Source organism: Homo sapiens, chromosome 11 (genome assembly GCF_000001405.40).
Source record: "Homo sapiens chromosome 11, GRCh38.p14 Primary Assembly".
Classification (NCBI taxonomy): domain Eukaryota; kingdom Metazoa; phylum Chordata; class Mammalia; order Primates; family Hominidae; genus Homo; species Homo sapiens.
In genome coordinates, this window is record NC_000011.10 from 46,379,735 (window position 1) to 46,395,113 (window position 15,379).

General features: G+C 62.4%; 3 protein-coding genes across 16 annotated transcripts in view, besides 14 other annotated features; 2 read left to right on the forward strand and 1 right to left on the reverse strand.

Annotated features, from left to right (window-relative positions):
* DGKZ (diacylglycerol kinase zeta) overlaps nt 1-820 on the forward strand; it is a 47,629-nt gene extending 46,809 nt beyond the window's left edge. For 6 of the 7 annotated variants that reach the window (NM_201532.3, NM_001199266.2, NM_003646.4 and 3 more), the window contains one exon: nt 97-817. In NM_201532.3, coding sequence (NP_963290.1) covers nt 97-213 — 117 coding nt within the window. In that variant the 3' untranslated portion in view covers nt 214-817. Of the gene's footprint in view, nt 1-96 lie in introns of all 7 variants that reach the window. The other variant, NM_201533.3, reaches the window with a different exon arrangement.
* Nucleotides 666-1,300: an enhancer, noted in NCBI's record as "H3K27ac-H3K4me1 hESC enhancer chr11:46401950-46402584 (GRCh37/hg19 assembly coordinates)". NCBI's record gives its function as "activates a minimal SCP1, AML or CMV promoter by ChIP-STARR-seq in primed H9 embryonic stem cells {active_cell/tissue: H9 hESC(primed)}" and the evidence as "EXISTENCE:reporter gene assay evidence [ECO:0000049][PMID:30033119]".
* Nucleotides 800-1,009: a silencer, noted in NCBI's record as "silent region_3305". NCBI's record gives its function as "represses an Ori minimal core promoter by ATAC-STARR-seq in GM12878 lymphoblastoid cells {active_cell/tissue: GM12878}" and the evidence as "EXISTENCE:reporter gene assay evidence [ECO:0000049][PMID:35858748]".
* Nucleotides 1,050-4,103, forward strand: MDK (midkine). 7 transcript variants are annotated; one of them, NM_001270550.1, is made up of 5 exons: nt 1,050-1,449; nt 2,323-2,399; nt 2,560-2,727; nt 2,853-3,014; nt 3,735-4,103. In NM_001270550.1, exons 2-5 carry the CDS (start codon nt 2,324-2,326, stop codon nt 3,758-3,760), a joined length of 432 nt encoding a protein of 143 aa, NP_001257479.1. In that variant the 5' UTR covers nt 1,050-1,449; nt 2,323; the 3' UTR covers nt 3,761-4,103. The 7 variants fall into 7 exon arrangements, 6 of the variants coding, with proteins under 6 accessions (NP_001257479.1, NP_001012334.1, NP_001012333.1 ...); NM_001012334.2 differs by having other exon boundaries at nt 1,334-1,554; NM_001012333.3 differs by lacking the exon at nt 1,050-1,449 and adding an exon at nt 1,935-2,151 and having other exon boundaries at nt 3,735-4,067.
* Nucleotides 1,440-1,639: a silencer, noted in NCBI's record as "silent region_3306". NCBI's record gives its function as "represses an Ori minimal core promoter by ATAC-STARR-seq in GM12878 lymphoblastoid cells {active_cell/tissue: GM12878}" and the evidence as "EXISTENCE:reporter gene assay evidence [ECO:0000049][PMID:35858748]".
* Nucleotides 2,070-2,179: a silencer, noted in NCBI's record as "silent region_3307". NCBI's record gives its function as "represses an Ori minimal core promoter by ATAC-STARR-seq in GM12878 lymphoblastoid cells {active_cell/tissue: GM12878}" and the evidence as "EXISTENCE:reporter gene assay evidence [ECO:0000049][PMID:35858748]".
* Nucleotides 2,600-2,649: a silencer, noted in NCBI's record as "silent region_3308". NCBI's record gives its function as "represses an Ori minimal core promoter by ATAC-STARR-seq in GM12878 lymphoblastoid cells {active_cell/tissue: GM12878}" and the evidence as "EXISTENCE:reporter gene assay evidence [ECO:0000049][PMID:35858748]".
* Nucleotides 2,600-2,919: a biological region, named in NCBI's record as "Sharpr-MPRA regulatory region 2210".
* Nucleotides 2,625-2,919: a silencer, noted in NCBI's record as "tiled region #2210; HepG2 Repressive DNase matched - State 4:PromP". NCBI's record gives its function as "represses a minimal TATA promoter and a strong SV40 promoter by Sharpr-MPRA in HepG2 cells {active_cell/tissue: HepG2}" and the evidence as "EXISTENCE:reporter gene assay evidence [ECO:0000049][PMID:27701403]".
* Nucleotides 4,055-12,042, reverse strand: CHRM4 (cholinergic receptor muscarinic 4). 2 transcript variants are annotated; one of them, NM_001366692.2, is made up of 2 exons: nt 11,885-12,042; nt 4,055-6,852 (listed from the first exon to the last, which is right to left on the reverse strand). In NM_001366692.2, the coding sequence occupies exon 2, from the start codon at nt 6,821-6,823 to the stop codon at nt 5,384-5,386; it is 1,440 nt and encodes a 479-aa protein (NP_001353621.1). In that variant the 5' UTR covers nt 6,824-6,852; nt 11,885-12,042; the 3' UTR covers nt 4,055-5,383. The 2 variants fall into 2 exon arrangements, with proteins under 2 accessions (NP_001353621.1, NP_000732.2); NM_000741.5 differs by having other exon boundaries at nt 11,797-12,042.
* Nucleotides 9,804-9,863: a silencer, noted in NCBI's record as "silent region_3309". NCBI's record gives its function as "represses an Ori minimal core promoter by ATAC-STARR-seq in GM12878 lymphoblastoid cells {active_cell/tissue: GM12878}" and the evidence as "EXISTENCE:reporter gene assay evidence [ECO:0000049][PMID:35858748]".
* Nucleotides 9,894-10,103: a silencer, noted in NCBI's record as "silent region_3310". NCBI's record gives its function as "represses an Ori minimal core promoter by ATAC-STARR-seq in GM12878 lymphoblastoid cells {active_cell/tissue: GM12878}" and the evidence as "EXISTENCE:reporter gene assay evidence [ECO:0000049][PMID:35858748]".
* Nucleotides 10,329-10,934: an enhancer, noted in NCBI's record as "H3K27ac-H3K4me1 hESC enhancer chr11:46411613-46412218 (GRCh37/hg19 assembly coordinates)". NCBI's record gives its function as "activates a minimal SCP1, AML or CMV promoter by ChIP-STARR-seq in primed H9 embryonic stem cells {active_cell/tissue: H9 hESC(primed)}" and the evidence as "EXISTENCE:reporter gene assay evidence [ECO:0000049][PMID:30033119]".
* Nucleotides 10,935-11,538: an enhancer, noted in NCBI's record as "H3K27ac-H3K4me1 hESC enhancer chr11:46412219-46412822 (GRCh37/hg19 assembly coordinates)". NCBI's record gives its function as "activates a minimal SCP1, AML or CMV promoter by ChIP-STARR-seq in primed H9 embryonic stem cells {active_cell/tissue: H9 hESC(primed)}" and the evidence as "EXISTENCE:reporter gene assay evidence [ECO:0000049][PMID:30033119]".
* Nucleotides 12,083-12,172: a silencer, noted in NCBI's record as "silent region_3311". NCBI's record gives its function as "represses an Ori minimal core promoter by ATAC-STARR-seq in GM12878 lymphoblastoid cells {active_cell/tissue: GM12878}" and the evidence as "EXISTENCE:reporter gene assay evidence [ECO:0000049][PMID:35858748]".
* Nucleotides 12,353-12,402: a silencer, noted in NCBI's record as "silent region_3312". NCBI's record gives its function as "represses an Ori minimal core promoter by ATAC-STARR-seq in GM12878 lymphoblastoid cells {active_cell/tissue: GM12878}" and the evidence as "EXISTENCE:reporter gene assay evidence [ECO:0000049][PMID:35858748]".
* Nucleotides 13,056-13,830: an enhancer, noted in NCBI's record as "H3K27ac-H3K4me1 hESC enhancer chr11:46414340-46415114 (GRCh37/hg19 assembly coordinates)". NCBI's record gives its function as "activates a minimal SCP1, AML or CMV promoter by ChIP-STARR-seq in primed H9 embryonic stem cells {active_cell/tissue: H9 hESC(primed)}" and the evidence as "EXISTENCE:reporter gene assay evidence [ECO:0000049][PMID:30033119]".

Genomic DNA, 15,379 nt, shown 5'->3' on the forward strand with positions numbered 1-15,379 from the left:
GACCAGGCCACAGGGAGGTAGAGCCCCTGCCTCTCAGCCTGCTAGGGGTTAGGCCTGCCTCTGGCCCCTGCTGATCGCAGCTCCGCCCTCCTCCAGGGCGACACTCCCCGGCAGCGGGCTGAGAAGGCTCAGGACACCGAGCTGGCCGCCTACCTGGAGAACCGGCAGCACTACCAGATGATCCAGCGGGAGGACCAGGAGACGGCTGTGTAGCGGGCCGCCCACGGGCAGCAGGAGGGACAATGCGGCCAGGGGACGAGCGCCTTCCTTGCCCACCTCACTGCCACATTCCAGTGGGACGGCCACGGGGGGACCTAGGCCCCAGGGAAAGAGCCCCATGCCGCCCCCTAAGGAGCCGCCCAGACCTAGGGCTGGACTCAGGAGCTGGGGGGGCCTCACCTGTTCCCCTGAGGACCCCGCCGGACCCGGAGGCTCACAGGGAACAAGACACGGCTGGGTTGGATATGCCTTTGCCGGGGTTCTGGGGCAGGGCGCTCCCTGGCCGCAGCAGATGCCCTCCCAGGAGTGGAGGGGCTGGAGAGGGGGAGGCCTTCGGGAAGAGGCTTCCTGGGCCCCCTGGTCTTCGGCCGGGTCCCCAGCCCCCGCTCCTGCCCCACCCCACCTCCTCCGGGCTTCCTCCCGGAAACTCAGCGCCTGCTGCACTTGCCTGCCCTGCCTTGCTTGGCACCCGCTCCGGCGACCCTCCCCGCTCCCCTGTCATTTCATCGCGGACTGTGCGGCCTGGGGGTGGGGGGCGGGACTCTCACGGTGACATGTTTACAGCTGGGTGTGACTCAGTAAAGTGGATTTTTTTTTCTTTTCTGCTTTTCTTCTTTTGCGGGGGAGGTCTAACAAGCAGCGGGGGCTGCGGGGTTGTCCTCGGGGTGGGGGACTGGACGCTGTCGACAGCACCTTCCTGGGGCCCCGGCTCCCGTTTGGTGGTTGGTCCCAGGGCCTGCCCGGTTCCTGACCTCTGCCCGGCGGCCGCGCTCGTCGGGGCCGGGGGCGGGGCCGATCCCTCCGGCTTCCCGCTTCCCGCGGAGAACAACAATGAAAGTGAAAGAGGGGTGGGGCGGGGGCGAGCCCGGGTTCTGTGGCCCATTTGCCCTGTGGCCTTGAGCAAGCCCCTCCCCCAGGCCTCGGGGGCTCTCCCGGTTTGGGGGAACCGGGCGAGGCAATGCCACAGGCCCAGGGTTAGAGGGGGTGGGCACTTGCAGCTGCCGATGTGGCTGGATCTGGAACTTCTCAGACGGCTCCTGTCAGCGCCAAGTTTCACCAAATCCAGGCCTGCGGGCTCCTCCCCCAGGACCCCCACTCGCAGTCCCTCAAGCCTGTGCTCCCGGAAAGGCACTGGGCGACCGCACCCGTGGCTTTCTCTGGGCGACCGGGTCCCAGACTCCCCCCAGCACAGCAGAGCGCTTCCCTGCCCACCCGCGGAAACCGCCCCAGGTGGGCCGCGCCCCCTCCCCAGCAGCCAGCAGGGCGCCAGGGCTGAGCCGGCCGTGGAGGGGAGCGGGTCCCGCGGGTTATACAGGCGCCGGGGCTCCGCGGCAGGCAAGAGAAGCTGAGGCCTGAGAACGGCCCGGGCCTTGGCGTACGGCAGGGGACGACCTGGGATGGGGGCAGCGGGCGGCGGCGCAGGGAGTGGGCCGGGGGCCGGTGTGCGCGGGCGGGACGGGGCCCGGGGTCGGGAGACCACCGCTCGGAAGATGGGGCCGGGAGAGGCCGCCGTCGCAGCGCAGAGGGCACCGGCGGGGAGACGCGAGGACGCGGGGCCGGGAACACGGACGCCGGAGTAGAAGCGCGGGGGGCGCGGGCTGGAGCGGGGGCGGGGACGCCGGGGTCGGGGGCGGTGCGGGTTTGAGGGGAGGGGGCGGGGCGGGTCCTTCCCTGGGGGGGTGGGGAGAGGGGGCGGGGGCCCATGTGACCGGCTCAGACCGGTTCTGGAGACAAAAGGGGCCGCGGCGGCCGGAGCGGGACGGGCCCGGCGCGGGAGGGAGCGAAGCAGCGCGGGCAGCGAGCGAGTGAGCGCGCGGCGGCCCCTGGTCCGCCCGGCCGCGGCCGATCTAGGGGCTGGGGGCTGGAGGCGGGGGTGGGGGTCTGAGCTGCGTCCTGGGCTCGAGGCGTCCCCCGGGGAGTCGCCTCTTAGCGGTGCGTCCGGGCTAGCGGCGAGGGGCCGCCCCAAGTCTTCCCACCGCCGCCACCTTAGCAGCCCGACTTGGGGCCTGGAAAGTGGAGCACGCGGAGGTGGGAGGGCCCTGCACGCGGCCCCCGGTGGGGAAGGGGACGGGCCAGGGATTCAGACTCGGGCTCTCCCCTCAGGATGCAGCACCGAGGCTTCCTCCTCCTCACCCTCCTCGCCCTGCTGGCGCTCACCTCCGCGGTCGCCAAAAAGAAAGGTGATGGGGGATGATCGAAGGAGGGCTGGGGACGGGCAGGCGAGGCCCCTCCACTTCTGGGCTGGGCCGCCTGGGTTCCTAGCCTGGAACCCCAGGAAGGCGGCTCCCGAGGGAGTCTCCCCGTGCCCCAGTCCTGAACTCTGTTCCTCGCGCGTTGTAGATAAGGTGAAGAAGGGCGGCCCGGGGAGCGAGTGCGCTGAGTGGGCCTGGGGGCCCTGCACCCCCAGCAGCAAGGATTGCGGCGTGGGTTTCCGCGAGGGCACCTGCGGGGCCCAGACCCAGCGCATCCGGTGCAGGGTGCCCTGCAACTGGAAGAAGGAGTTTGGAGGTGAGGCGGGGCGCAGTCAGAGGGCAGGAGACGGGGGGCACAGCCTCGCCGAAGCCTGGGCGGACCCTTGGCGGAGGGCGGGGCCGCGGGCCGCGCAGCGCTGACCTGGGCCGCTCTCTCGCCAGCCGACTGCAAGTACAAGTTTGAGAACTGGGGTGCGTGTGATGGGGGCACAGGCACCAAAGTCCGCCAAGGCACCCTGAAGAAGGCGCGCTACAATGCTCAGTGCCAGGAGACCATCCGCGTCACCAAGCCCTGCACCCCCAAGACCAAAGCAAAGGCCAAAGGTCAGCGAAAGGAGAAGGGGGTGGGGCTGTCGCGGGGGGCTGCCCCCCCCCCCCCCCGCCTGTGAGGGGACAATTCCAAGTTAAACCTTAAGTTTTGAGTCCTGGCCAGTGGCTTCCTGACATCGCCTCACTTGGCTTCCCTGCCTGGAAAAGTCTGAAGATGGGCACTACAAGAGAGGCCGCAGGTGATGCTGGGGACATAAATCCTCCCTGGCCCAAATAGGGACCAACTCAAACTACTCCATTGGAGCATCTGGCTTAGGACCCAGGGAGAGTGTCCTGGAACGGCTTGCCTTTGTCAGCTCTCCAGCCACGGGCAGCATTTGGTCAGCTCTGCCCTTTCTAGTGTTGGGAGGAGGTCAAGGCCCACCCTGGGCCTCTCAGCTCACTCGTGACTCAGCCCAGCGAGGCCAGCAGGGCAGGGGTGAATCTGCCCGCTTCTCAGGTGAGGAGGCTGAGGATGCCCAGGGCTGCTGTGACCAGGACTAGGACTGGAAACTTGAAGGTTTTCTGATCCCAAGTGGAAATAGGAAGCTGGGGATGTCCCATGTCCACATCACAATGGCTGCCCCATCCCCTGCTTCCGAGTCAGCTGATTGGAAACCACTAGGGGGCAGAATCTTCTCCTTCCCTGATGCCCGGGTGTTTGTGGAGCCGGCGGTCTGCAATGGGTCAGCCTAACTGCTGATATGGTATTAATATTTCTTTCTTGTTTTACAGCCAAGAAAGGGAAGGGAAAGGACTAGACGCCAAGCCTGGATGCCAAGGAGCCCCTGGTGTCACATGGGGCCTGGCCCACGCCCTCCCTCTCCCAGGCCCGAGATGTGACCCACCAGTGCCTTCTGTCTGCTCGTTAGCTTTAATCAATCATGCCCTGCCTTGTCCCTCTCACTCCCCAGCCCCACCCCTAAGTGCCCAAAGTGGGGAGGGACAAGGGATTCTGGGAAGCTTGAGCCTCCCCCAAAGCAATGTGAGTCCCAGAGCCCGCTTTTGTTCTTCCCCACAATTCCATTACTAAGAAACACATCAAATAAACTGACTTTTTCCCCCCAATAAAAGCTCTTCTTTTTTAATATATAAAAGCCCCTTCCCAAGGAGTTTGCTGTGGAAATGTGTTTGGGAGTGGGAAGGTGGGGAGAAAGACCAGGCTGTAGGGACTGGTGGGTTTCAGGGGGCTTGGTGGTGGGTGCTCTCCAGAGCTCATGGAAAAAGCAGAACAATTACAAACATTTCTTCCAGGGCCCCTGAAAGGGTGCTCCCCATCAAGTCACCTAAGCCTTTCGGTCCTCATCTCCCTCAGGGACCAGGGCTGGGGAAGGGAACCTGGCTGACTCACTGGAACCACCACACCCATCTCAGCCTCACCCAGTCAAAGGTCTTTTGATACAACCCACAGCCAATCAGGAAGGTTCTACCCATGGGGGAGAGCAGATGCGAGGGCTGCGTGCCTACCTCACTGCCCACCTCCCCCCTTCCCACTGTCATGGAAACCCGAGTGAGCCACCAGGTTGACCCCTTTCCTCTTGCCTGTGTGACCCAGGCCTCCACCCTGCAGAAGCCAGGGGGTGAGAGGTTTGAAGAGGGCAGATGGGAATGCCATCCACCACAGCCTCACCCTGACTCGATGTGTGACCTGGGACAGCCTTCTAAGGCCGGGGCTGCAGGGGGCTGTCTTCTGAATACGTGGACCACTCACGGCTCAGCCTGGGATCGCAGAAGGCCAGACCTCAGTTCCTGAGACAGAACCTCTGACCTCCCAGCTGCCCCATCTTAATGTGACAAGGGCAGTGCTGCTGGGGCGGGGGGGACCTGGCCTCCATCATACCCACCCAGAACCTGGCTAAGTAGCTGCAGCCAGAGGAGATTTCTGCCCCTGGAGTGGGATTTGGGGAGAGGGGGCTGAGCCTACATGCGGGGTGCAAGGGGGCAGAAAGCACCGATTACAGCAGAATGGGGGACCCCACCCTTCTACTCCCTTCCCAAGCCTCCTTTTCCAAGCACTGGCCCCTTTGTTCTTCCTGAGGGGGCCCTGGGCTTCGGCCCCCATCCAGATGTCCATTCTTCCAGCACTGCTGATGGTTGGTCACAGTGGGGCAGGTGCCCACCCAGGCCAGTGCCCCGCAGCTCGCTGAAGCAGGGCCACAGAGGTGGGCCAGGCAGCCCCAGTTCAGACACTCCCTGGGGTGAGCCTCCTCAGCCTGAGCAGAGATCTGGTCTCTGAATGCAGCCACAGAGCCTCTTCTGAACTTCCTCCTCAGCAAACGTGAACGCAGAATGGTGCCTGCAACTCTTCCCCACAGCAAGTGAGCCGTGTGGTCCCCCCAGCACACGCACGCAACACCAGCACCTCCTAGGGCACTCCTGCCTGCCTACCTGGCAGTGCCGATGTTCCGATACTGGCACAGCAGCAGGTGCCGGAAGGTCTTTTTAAAGGTGGCGTTGCACAGAGCATAGCAGGCAGGGTTGATGGTGCTGTTGACGTAGCAGAGCCAGTAGCCAATGGACCACACCGTGTCAGGGATGCAGCTCTGGCAGAAGGTGTTCACCAGGACCATGACGTTGTAGGGCGTCCAGGTGAGGATGAAGGCTAGCAGAATGGCAAAGATCGTTCGTGTCACTTTGCGCTCCCGGGCCGCCATCTGCCGCTTCTTGCGCACCTGGTTGCGAGCGATGCTGGCGAACTTGCGGGCCACGTTGGCCGCAGGGCGCATGCCAGCCGGCGTGGCAGGCACAATCTCAATGGCTGTCACACACTCATTGCCTGTCTGCTTCGTCACAATCTGGATCTTGGACCATCTGGAGGCTGGGTTGAGGGCCCGCGGCTGCAGGGGAGGGGCGGGCATGGCGGGCGTGGTGGCCTCTGTGGTGGACAGCTCTGTGGCTGGGCGTTCCTTGGTGTTCTGGGTGGCACTGCCTGAGCTGGACTCATTGGAAGTGTCCTTATCAGCCACGGGGCGCGGTGGCGGTGGCAGCGCTGGCGGGGGGGCCTCCTCCAGCTTGCCATTGCGCAGCTCCTCCCGGGCGGCCTCCCCGGGCGGGGGCTTCTTGACGCTCTGCTTCATTAGTGGGCTCTTGAGGAAGGCCAGCGTCTTGGCTTTCTTCTCCTTCGGGCCCTCGGGCCGGTGCTTGTGGACTCGGCTGCGACTGGCCAGGGAGATGTGGATGTACAGCACCGTCATGATGACCACAGGCAGGTAGAAGGCAGCAATGGCTGTGCCAAAGGTCACTGCTGGGTTGGACAGGAACTGGATGAAGCACTGGTTGTCGGGCACCGTCCGCTTACCCACCACAAACTGCCAGAACAAGATGGCAGGCGCCCAGAGCACGAAGGACAGTACCCAGGCAGCAGCAATCATGAGGCCTGCCATCTTGGTGGTGCGCCGGGCAGGGTAGGTGAGAGGCTTGGTGACGCAGAAGTAGCGGTCAAAGCTGATGATGAGAAGGTTCATGACGGAGGCGTTGCTCACCACGTAGTCCAGGGCCAGCCACAGGTCGCAGACCACGGCGCCCAGGGGCCAGTAGCCCTTGATGATGTACACGGTGTAGAGGTTCATGGAGAAGGCGCCTATGATGAGATCAGCACACGCCAGGCTGAAGAGGAAGTAGTTGTTGACTGTCTGCAGCTGCCTGTTGACCTTGATGGACAGCATCACCAGGATGTTGCCCACGACAGTCACCAGGCTCAGGGAGCCTGTCACTGTGGCAATGAAGACCATTTCCACCGTCTCATAGCGATTGTGGGATGATGACGTGACCAGGCGCACGGACTGATTGCCCGAGCTGCCATTGACAGGTGTGAAGTTGGCCATGTTGGTTGCCAGGGGTGGGTAGGCCGTGTCTGGGGAGGAAGGGGAGAGAAAAGCATGAACTACAGGAGGGAATGGGGGAGTCATCTGGAGGTACACTGGATTCAAGGTGACAGAGGGACATTCTCTGGCAGAATGCCTTGAGAGAACTCTGTCCCGCCATCCCGCATTTGCCCATTCATTCAACATTAATTGAGCACCTACTATGTGGCAAGCATTGCTCAGGGTGCTGTGGCTACAGAAGTGAATAAGACACACATGGCCCCCTGCCTCATGGGGGGAGACATGCAAACACGTGAGCCACAAAAGAAAAAAAAGGCAGGGTGATGAGAGAGTGAGTCAGAAGGCAGGACAGGCATGACTCCTTGCTAGGTGGCCTCACCCACCAGGTCATCTGGGTGATGAGGAGCCAGCCACAGGAGGAGCTGTGGAGAGTGGCCCTGCCAGGGGCAGTAGCCACAGCAAAGGCCTGGAGGCAGCGCAAGGCCTGGACAGAGGCCAGTGCTGGGGGAGCTCAGGGAAGCAAGAGGAGGAGGAGAGTGGTCCCAGAGGCCCACGAGCATGTGGGCTCTGGAGGGAGGTGTTCTGTTCATCCATTTACCCATTCGGTCATTTCTTAACACCTGCTCTCCAACCCCTGTAGAAGACACTGGGACAAAGGCAATAATCGGGGTATGTATGAGCACCTAACACTGATGGTCTACTAAGTGCCAAGCACTTTTGACACTTAAAAAAAGTGTCTATTTATTTATCTATTTATTTGTAGAGACAGGGTCTTGGTATGTTGTCCAGGCTGGTCTAGAACTCTTGAGCTCAAGCCATCCTCTCACCTCCTGAGTAGCTGGGACTCCAGGCGCCATCATGCCTGGCAACATTTTTTATAGTGTTAACTCATTTCATCCTCATAACAAACCTATGAGGTAGATACCATTTTTTCTCTACTACTTACAGATGGGGAAACTGAGGCACGGAGCTGTTAAAAGCCTGACCAAGGTTTCACGGCTTCTTGCACTATGTTGCTGGTGGGATTAAGTGCGGGGTGAGGTGGTGAGAGGAAGGCAGTCCCGTAACTTAAGAGCTCTGGCTGAAGGAGGCCAAAGAGCTCCAGGAGCCAGAAGGCTTTGCAGGGGACCAGAGGCGGTGCATGGAGCTGGGCACCCCAGAGAGGAGGAGAGTCCCTGCAGAAGGGGCTTCAGGAGGTACCTGCAACTGTCACATCCCCTTCAAGGAGTCCTCAGCTCCAGCCACAGGGCATGCAGCTGGGAGGGAGGCAGTGCAGGGGTCACTAGGTTGTCAGAGAACCCTGAGGCCCAACTGGGGACCCGTGAGGTGAAAGAATTGTCCCAGAGGGAAGAGAAGGGCTGCCAGGGCCGCCTCTCCCCTCCACAGTCCACTCCGCACACCGGGCGGCGCCCTAGCTGGAGTCCCCACCACAGGCCCTTCCCTGAGCCTGCCCTCCCTCCCACCAGGCTCCTCTTAGCTCTCCTCCCCCTCTTCCTCTTCCCTCCATGTGAGGGAGGCCCACGCCAGCTCTGAGTGCCAGGGCAGCCGCTCAGCCCAGCCTCCTTCACACCCGCCAACACACACACCGCTCCACAGACGCACGCGGGCCCATCACAGCCACGCCAGCCCAGCAGGCATGGTCGGATACGCAGTTCTGTGCGTCTGTGTGTGAGAGGAAGAGAGGGCGCGGCAGCCGGCTGTGGAGGAAGGAGCACTAACCCGCAGCCTGGGCTCTGGCTCTGTGGCCTGAGACGATCCACTGCCCCTTCCTGCACCTCTTTCTCATTTGCAGAATAGAGAGGATCCTGTCCTGGGACATCCTCCCCAGCAGCTATAGGGATTGGCACCTAAACTTGATCTCTATACATAAACACAAAAATGTACTGCAGGCTGGGGCCAAGGGCCAGGGTAACTGCCCCAAGTCTGACCCCAGCCCTTCTATTCCACCGTCGCAGATACAGACCCAGCCTCCTAGCCTGATAGTTCAAGTTCTCCTGTTCTAAATCCTTGGTTCGTAGGAGGAGAGGCTGAGAGCAAGTGTTGTCACCCCCAAGGTCACACAACGAGTCAAGGGCAAAGACCACATACTGCCCTCTCTTGGGGTCCCTGACAACCCCATTTGGCTCTGAGAGCCTCTGAAATAGAAGCTCAGGTGTCACTCTCTGAGCTGTCCCCTCCAGCACCAGGAGGCTGCCCTCCCCCAATCACTCACGTGGAGGAGGGGACAGGGCAGGCAGGAGTAATCAGTCAGCCAGCCCCAAGGAAACTCACTTCAGCCTCCCAAGGCAGGATACAGGGCAGCAGGATGATAACAAACGGGGCTAGAAGTGCAGAATGTGAAAACATAATAGCTCTTGTTTATTGAGTGTTAACTGCGTGTCAGGAACCCCTCTGAGCTTTTAATATAGATTATCTGGTTTAATCCTTACAACAGCCTGAAAAGGCAGGTATTATTAGTGTCCTCATCTTACAGATGTAAATATCCTCTTATAGATGAGGATAATGTTAATCAACTGGCCCAAAGTCACCAGGTTAGGAAGTACGGGTGGGGGCAGAAGAACCCGGGAAGCTCCTTCTTAAAGTCCAAGGTGCTACTGCTCAGAGTTGACCTCCTGCCTCTGCTCCCCTCGACCCGAAAACCACACAACTGAGGGACTGTCCAGGTGAGGCTTGGGTAGGGTCCCCTCACATTCCTGCTGGCTTCTCGACTTAGCTTTCCCAGAAGACAAGCGATGTCTTGTCTTCTCCCAGATCCTGGCGGCTGGGCTGAGCCGGGACCACTGGATGGCCGGTGATTAAGTCCTGCTCTTGGCCCGCGTGAGGGAGCTGCCAGGTGCTGACAGGGCGAGGCTCAGGGTCTCCCCGACTCCGCCCCGCCCCAGCTGTCGTCGTTTTGGACACCTCGGGGTCACCCGCAGACATTCCGACCCCCTCTGGCGCCTTCCCTGGAATCCAGATACGCCTGGCATCTGGGGAGCGAGCCGCCGCCGCCGGGGCTGTGCGCACCGCTAGATGGCAATGTCGGTCCCTGGTGCCCGCTCCGGACCTAGACCGTGCGGCCGCCGTTGGCCACCGCCCCCAACTCCAATGCGACTGCGAACCCAGAGGAGCCCTCAGGCACAGCCTCCCGGGGAAGTGACGCGGGGTCCCCTCGCCAGGCCCCGTCGGACGCCGCCCCAGAGCTGCCCTCGGCTCCGCGCGGGGTTCTCGGGTGGGAAAGTTGAGGGAGCCCGGATTCCACCCGGCACCCTGCGAGGAACGTGTGGGCGGGAGCGCGAGTGCGAGTTCTGTTTGTGTGTGCCTACGGGGGAGCGCGAGTAGACGCTAGTAGCTGTATGCATGTGCGTGTGTGTGCGCACGGCCACGCCTGGATACCAGTCCGCCCGTGAGAGCGCGTGAGCATGCCGCGCCGTGTGCACACGTGCATGTGCATGCGTGTGCGTGCCTAGGGTGCTGTGGCCGGGAGGATGCACACGGTTCGGGTGCCTCTACACCTGTGGACTTGCATGCACAAGCAAATGCAGGGCCGAGAGTGGGTGACCGGTCACATTCCAAACGCCCCTGCCGGAGACTCAGCCAGACCTTAGCTGTCCGCCTGAGCGCGTAGAGGGTCGGGCCAGGAGCCTGCATCGGGATTGCACCTGGCCTGTGGGTGAAGGGTTGTGCGGGCGAGGAGGCCAGACTACTAGGGGCTGCCTGCGACGGGCCACCTAACTTTGGGACGCCGTCTTAGCCCGGTGCCCAGAGGTGTCCAAGTCCTTAAAGATGTGGCAGAGTCCTAGCCTCTGACTGACATCTGTCGAGGGGCCTCTGCGAGAGTCGCCCAACCTGGCCTTGAGGGACACCAGGCACGCTCAGCTCTAATAACTCCCCTAAGAGGCGTTATTGCCAAAAGCCGCCCATTCTCGCGGCGAGAGGGCATCCGCAGTGCACCCACAAGGCGGAGGCCCGGACAGAGCTCGGGTCAGGCGAGTGCAAGACTCTTGTCCTCCTTCTCTCCTCACCCTGCACCCTACCCCAGAGGCACTGTCTAGCCCCTGTGACCAAAGTGGGGACCCAGTTTCTCACGCTAGGGTCGGGCGGGCCTCGAGGGCCGTGTTTTCCTAGGCCATCTGGAGGCTCCTCCATGTCTCCGCCGTGGTCGAAGGAGCCCTGGCTCTCGGGTGCCCCGCCCTCCCTCCAAGCCCCTAGCACGCAGTTCCTGCAGCCTCTGGGCGTGGGCACTGTGTTTCCCGAGTCCTCGACACCCCTCTTCCCCGGGCGAGACCGGAGGGGGTGCTCCGCACGCCCGTGGGGTGGTTTGGGGTGTAGGTCTTCGGTTCTTGGGCATTCACTCCATGGCTCTGGGAAGGCTGTGGCCCCTGGATCTGTCCCTGGGGCGGGAGAGGAGACTCCAGAGTCCAAGGGAGGGAGAGGCGAAGATTTGGCACCGACATTGTGCCCAACACTTCCGTTGCGGGGCCGGAGGAGGGGGCCTGGAGCTGGAGGACCCCGGCTTGGAGGCTGGGCAGCAAAGGGGGGTAGTACCGGAGCGGGGGAGGGGTGTCGGGGAGGGCAGGGGTGTTTTCCGTCGGGGCTCAAGGTCGTAGATGGAGGACTCCAGGGGCCGGAGTGGGCTGGCAGCGCGGGGGCAAAGGGGTGGAGGGAGAGGGAGGGCGGGGAGACGGCGGGAAAAGGGCTCTTTGGGGCTTCAGCGCCCGGCGCCCTGCTGAGCCGCCAGTGGGAGGGCTGGAGTACAGGGTCCCACCCCCGACGGCTGCCCCTGGCTCCGTGGGGTCTGTGGGCGGGCAATCCCCCGCCCCCGACATCCTGGATGCCCACCCCTTCCCACGGGCGCACCCGGGCGCACCTGGAGAAGCCTCCGAGAGCCCCCGGCCTTGCTTCCAGCGGGGTCCCCCAGCCCCGGCCCACTGCCGCTCCCGGCCCGCGCTCGCCCCGGAGGGGGTCTGGCGCCCTGTCCCAGTCGAACCCACCTCTGGGGAGCCTCAGAGCGTCCCGGGGACCTGCTTCCTGCTCTTCCCGGCGAGCCCCCCGCCCCCGCGCCGCCGCGGAGCCACTTACCCGCCGCCTCTGCCCAGCTCCCCTCGCGCCAGACAGACGGCGGGACGGACGCGCGGCCCCGCGGGCCGGCGGGGCGGGCGGCCGGGCCGAGGGCCGGGGGCGGGGACGGGGTGTCGAGGGGCGGCCCCTGCTCCGCCCGCAGCTCCCGGCGCTGTGGCTCCGACTCGCGCTCACGCTCGCACTTTTCCCCGAGCCGCGTGATGTCACGAGGAAGCAGCCAATCGTGGCGGGGCCGCGCCGCCCGCCCCGGGCCGGTCACCCGGCGGCGACGCGCGGGGGTCAACACCCGAGGCGTCGGAGACCCCGGCGGTCCGCGCCCCTCTCGGGGGCTGGCCGGCAGCTCCCTGCTTGGGCACAGAGGGCGCCGCCCACGGCCAGCGACGCAGGGGAGCAGGGGGCGCTGCCCTCCGGGGGGTGGGGGTGTCCGCGTTGTCATGGGGACGCGGCGCCCCCTCGCGGGCTGGGGAAGGAGCTGGCAGCTGGGTCCGGCCGCGCTCCCGCCTCCGCCCTGACCATACTCCCGGGACCCTGAGCTATTTTCGCGCCTCTCCGGGACCTCAGCGCCCTGCGTGGCCCCGCTGGCGGTTTGGCCGCGAGGCGCGGGAGTCTGACCCCAGCGGGAGGCTGCGGGTGGGTGGGGCGGGCTGCGCCGCCAGGGATCCGTCGGGGTCGAGGGCCGGGAGCTCCAGCCGCGCCGCTGCGTGCCGGCCGGGCCGCCCGCGAGGAGGGGCGCCGTCGGGGCCTGGGGAAGCGCAGGAGCGGGTGGACTGGAGAGGTTCGGCCGGGGAGAGAAGAGCCCACCGCGGACCACTCGCCCGCACCCGCTCGGCTGCCTGCTCAGCGTTCCGGGCCGGGGAAGGGGCGCGCCCCTGCTCTCCCAGCCCTGGGATGGGACGCGCCGCCAGTCCAGGCGCAGCCTGGACCGCCAGTTCACCGCCGCCTGTGAGGGACAGTCGGTTGCCCAAGGTCGCCGGGGCCGGAGCCCGGGACAAGATCCCGGAGAGCGGGCAGCCAATCTCAGAGGTCGCTGGGAACCGCACGGGCCGTAGCCTCAGGACTCCGGGCCTCGCCCAGGCTGGGCGGACCTTGGGGCGGCTTCAGCACCTCGGAGAGCTCCCCGCGCCCTGGCCCAGCAGCCTCGCCTGCCTGATTCCGCTCCAGCGCTTGTCTCCCTCCGAGAGCGCCCTTCCGGGGGACCGCCGGGGTCGGACGCTCCCCACTGCGCCCAGGACCGAGGCCTGTAACCCCAAATTCTGATCGCAAACATTTGATTAAGCTTAAGACGTCTGATTTCTTCTCTCGGGGAAACAACTCAAGACCCTCCCCCGAGGGCCGGAGGTGGTGAGGGCGATTGCGGGGGCGGCGGTGGAGGAGAGGCAGGAGCCTCTTGGCAGAGAATGGGAGGGAACTCGAGTAGAAGCCAGCGCTGCGGGGCTCTTGGTGTGGGGTTCTCCGCGCGGAACCCGGAAGTGGAGTTCGGGTCCCCAGAGCTCGCGAGCGCGACGGCTGGGGTTGGTCGGAATTGGGAACTTCAGGGCTGGGGTTGGTTGGCTAGAGTAGGAAGCCATCTTCTGTTGTTACATGAATGATCGGGTCTCCCAAGACCTCATAACTGGGGGTGAAAGAAGCACTACTCTTCTTGCCCCACTTCACAAATAAGGAAAGTTGGTTCATAAGACCCTAAGACGGCACTCCTGCACTTCTTCCACTTTGCCATATCCTTCCCAGGGCACAGAAGAGTGTGATACTCCTAAGAGGAGGTGGGGGTTGTGGAGGAGGAAGGCAGATAGATCCTTAAAACAGTCAGATGAGAAAACAAGCAAGGCCAAGGGCGGGAGGCTGCATACACAAGACACGCCTCCAGCTACTGACCCCAGCTCTTCCAGAAGCTGGCAGGCAAAGTCACTTTAATTTCTCCACAATCCCTGTTATGAAGGGCTTTTGACCTCTCTCAATCTCCCAACCCCAAGAACCCACGGTGGAACCCTGGAGAGCTGAATTGGGAACAAGGGGACTTGGTGGTTTCTCTGCTCTGCTTTTGATGCCACTAGGTCAGCAGACAAGTAACAGAATTTCTCTGAACCTATTTCCTCATCTCCAAAAGGGACTGCCCCTATCTTTGCCCTGGTGACCCCACAACCTTGTGACGTGTAAGGGGCCTGCAAAGGTTTTACTACCAGAGAGGCTCTGTCATTGGGCAAGGGCTTTCTAAGGAAAGGGGCTGGTGTGGGGACAGAGAGGTGTTGACAAGGGCCTCCAATGGGGGGTGGGGAGGTTGGGGAGGGTGGCTGGCACCATCCAGAGACAGCAGAGACAAGGCCTGGCAGGTCCAAATTTGGACCACCTTGGCCGGATGGTGGCTCACGCCCACAAACCCAGCATTTTGGGAGGCCGAGACAGGCAGATCACTTGAGGTCAGGAGTTTGAGACCAGCCTGGTTAACATGGTGACACCCCATCCCTACTAAAAATACAAACAAAATTAGCTGGGTGTGGTGGCACACACCTGTAATCCCAGTTACTCAGGAGGCTGAGGCAGGAGAATTGCTTAAACCTGGGAGGTGGAGGTTGCAGTGAGCTGAGATTGTGCCATTGCACTCCAGCCTGGGTGACAGAGACTCCATCTCAAAAACAAAACAAAACAAAACAACAAAAAACAAACAAAAAAACCCAAAAAACAAATTTGGACCACTTCATCCCTAGGGACCTCCCCATACCCTTTTCCCCAAAGCAACAGAACAAGTCAGGGTTCCATTGTTTCTCCTACACCTTGTCTTCCTTCTGTAGAAATGACTGGCTGAAGTGTGCACTCTGGAATCATACACTACTTGGTTCAAACTCTGGCTCTGCCAGTTAATTGTGTGCTCTGGGGGTAACAGCAGTAATGACCTCAGAGAGTTTTTGTGAGGATTGACAGAGAGAACGCACATTGACTCCTGGCCTGTGGTTTACATTAAACAAATTAGCAGGACCCACTATCAGACCAAGGAATTCTTCCTCCAACGGGTGGTGGGGAGAGGATGTGGGGCAGTGGGCTCCCTTCTCCTTCCATCCTTCAATGCTTAGCTCAAATCCACTTTTTTTTTTTTTTAAAGAGATAGCATCAGCCGGGCACGGTGGCTCATGCCTGTAAACCCAGCACTTTGGGAGGCCAAGGCAGGCAGATCACCTGAGGTCGGGAGATCGAAACCAGCCTGACCAACACGGAGAAACCCCATCTCTACTAAAAATACAAAATTAGCCAGGCGTGGTGGCTCATGCCTGTAATCCCAGCTACTAGGGAGGCTGAGGCAGGAGAATCGCTTGAACCTGGGAGATGGAGGTTGCGGTGAACCGAGATGGCACCATTGCACTCCAGTCTGGGCAACAAGAACGAAACTCCGTCTCAAAAAAAAAAAAAAAAAAAAAGAGAGAGAGAGATACGGTCTCACTTTGTTGCCCAGGCTGGACTTGGACTCCTGGGCTCAAGTGATCCTCCTGCCTCAGCCTCCCAAGT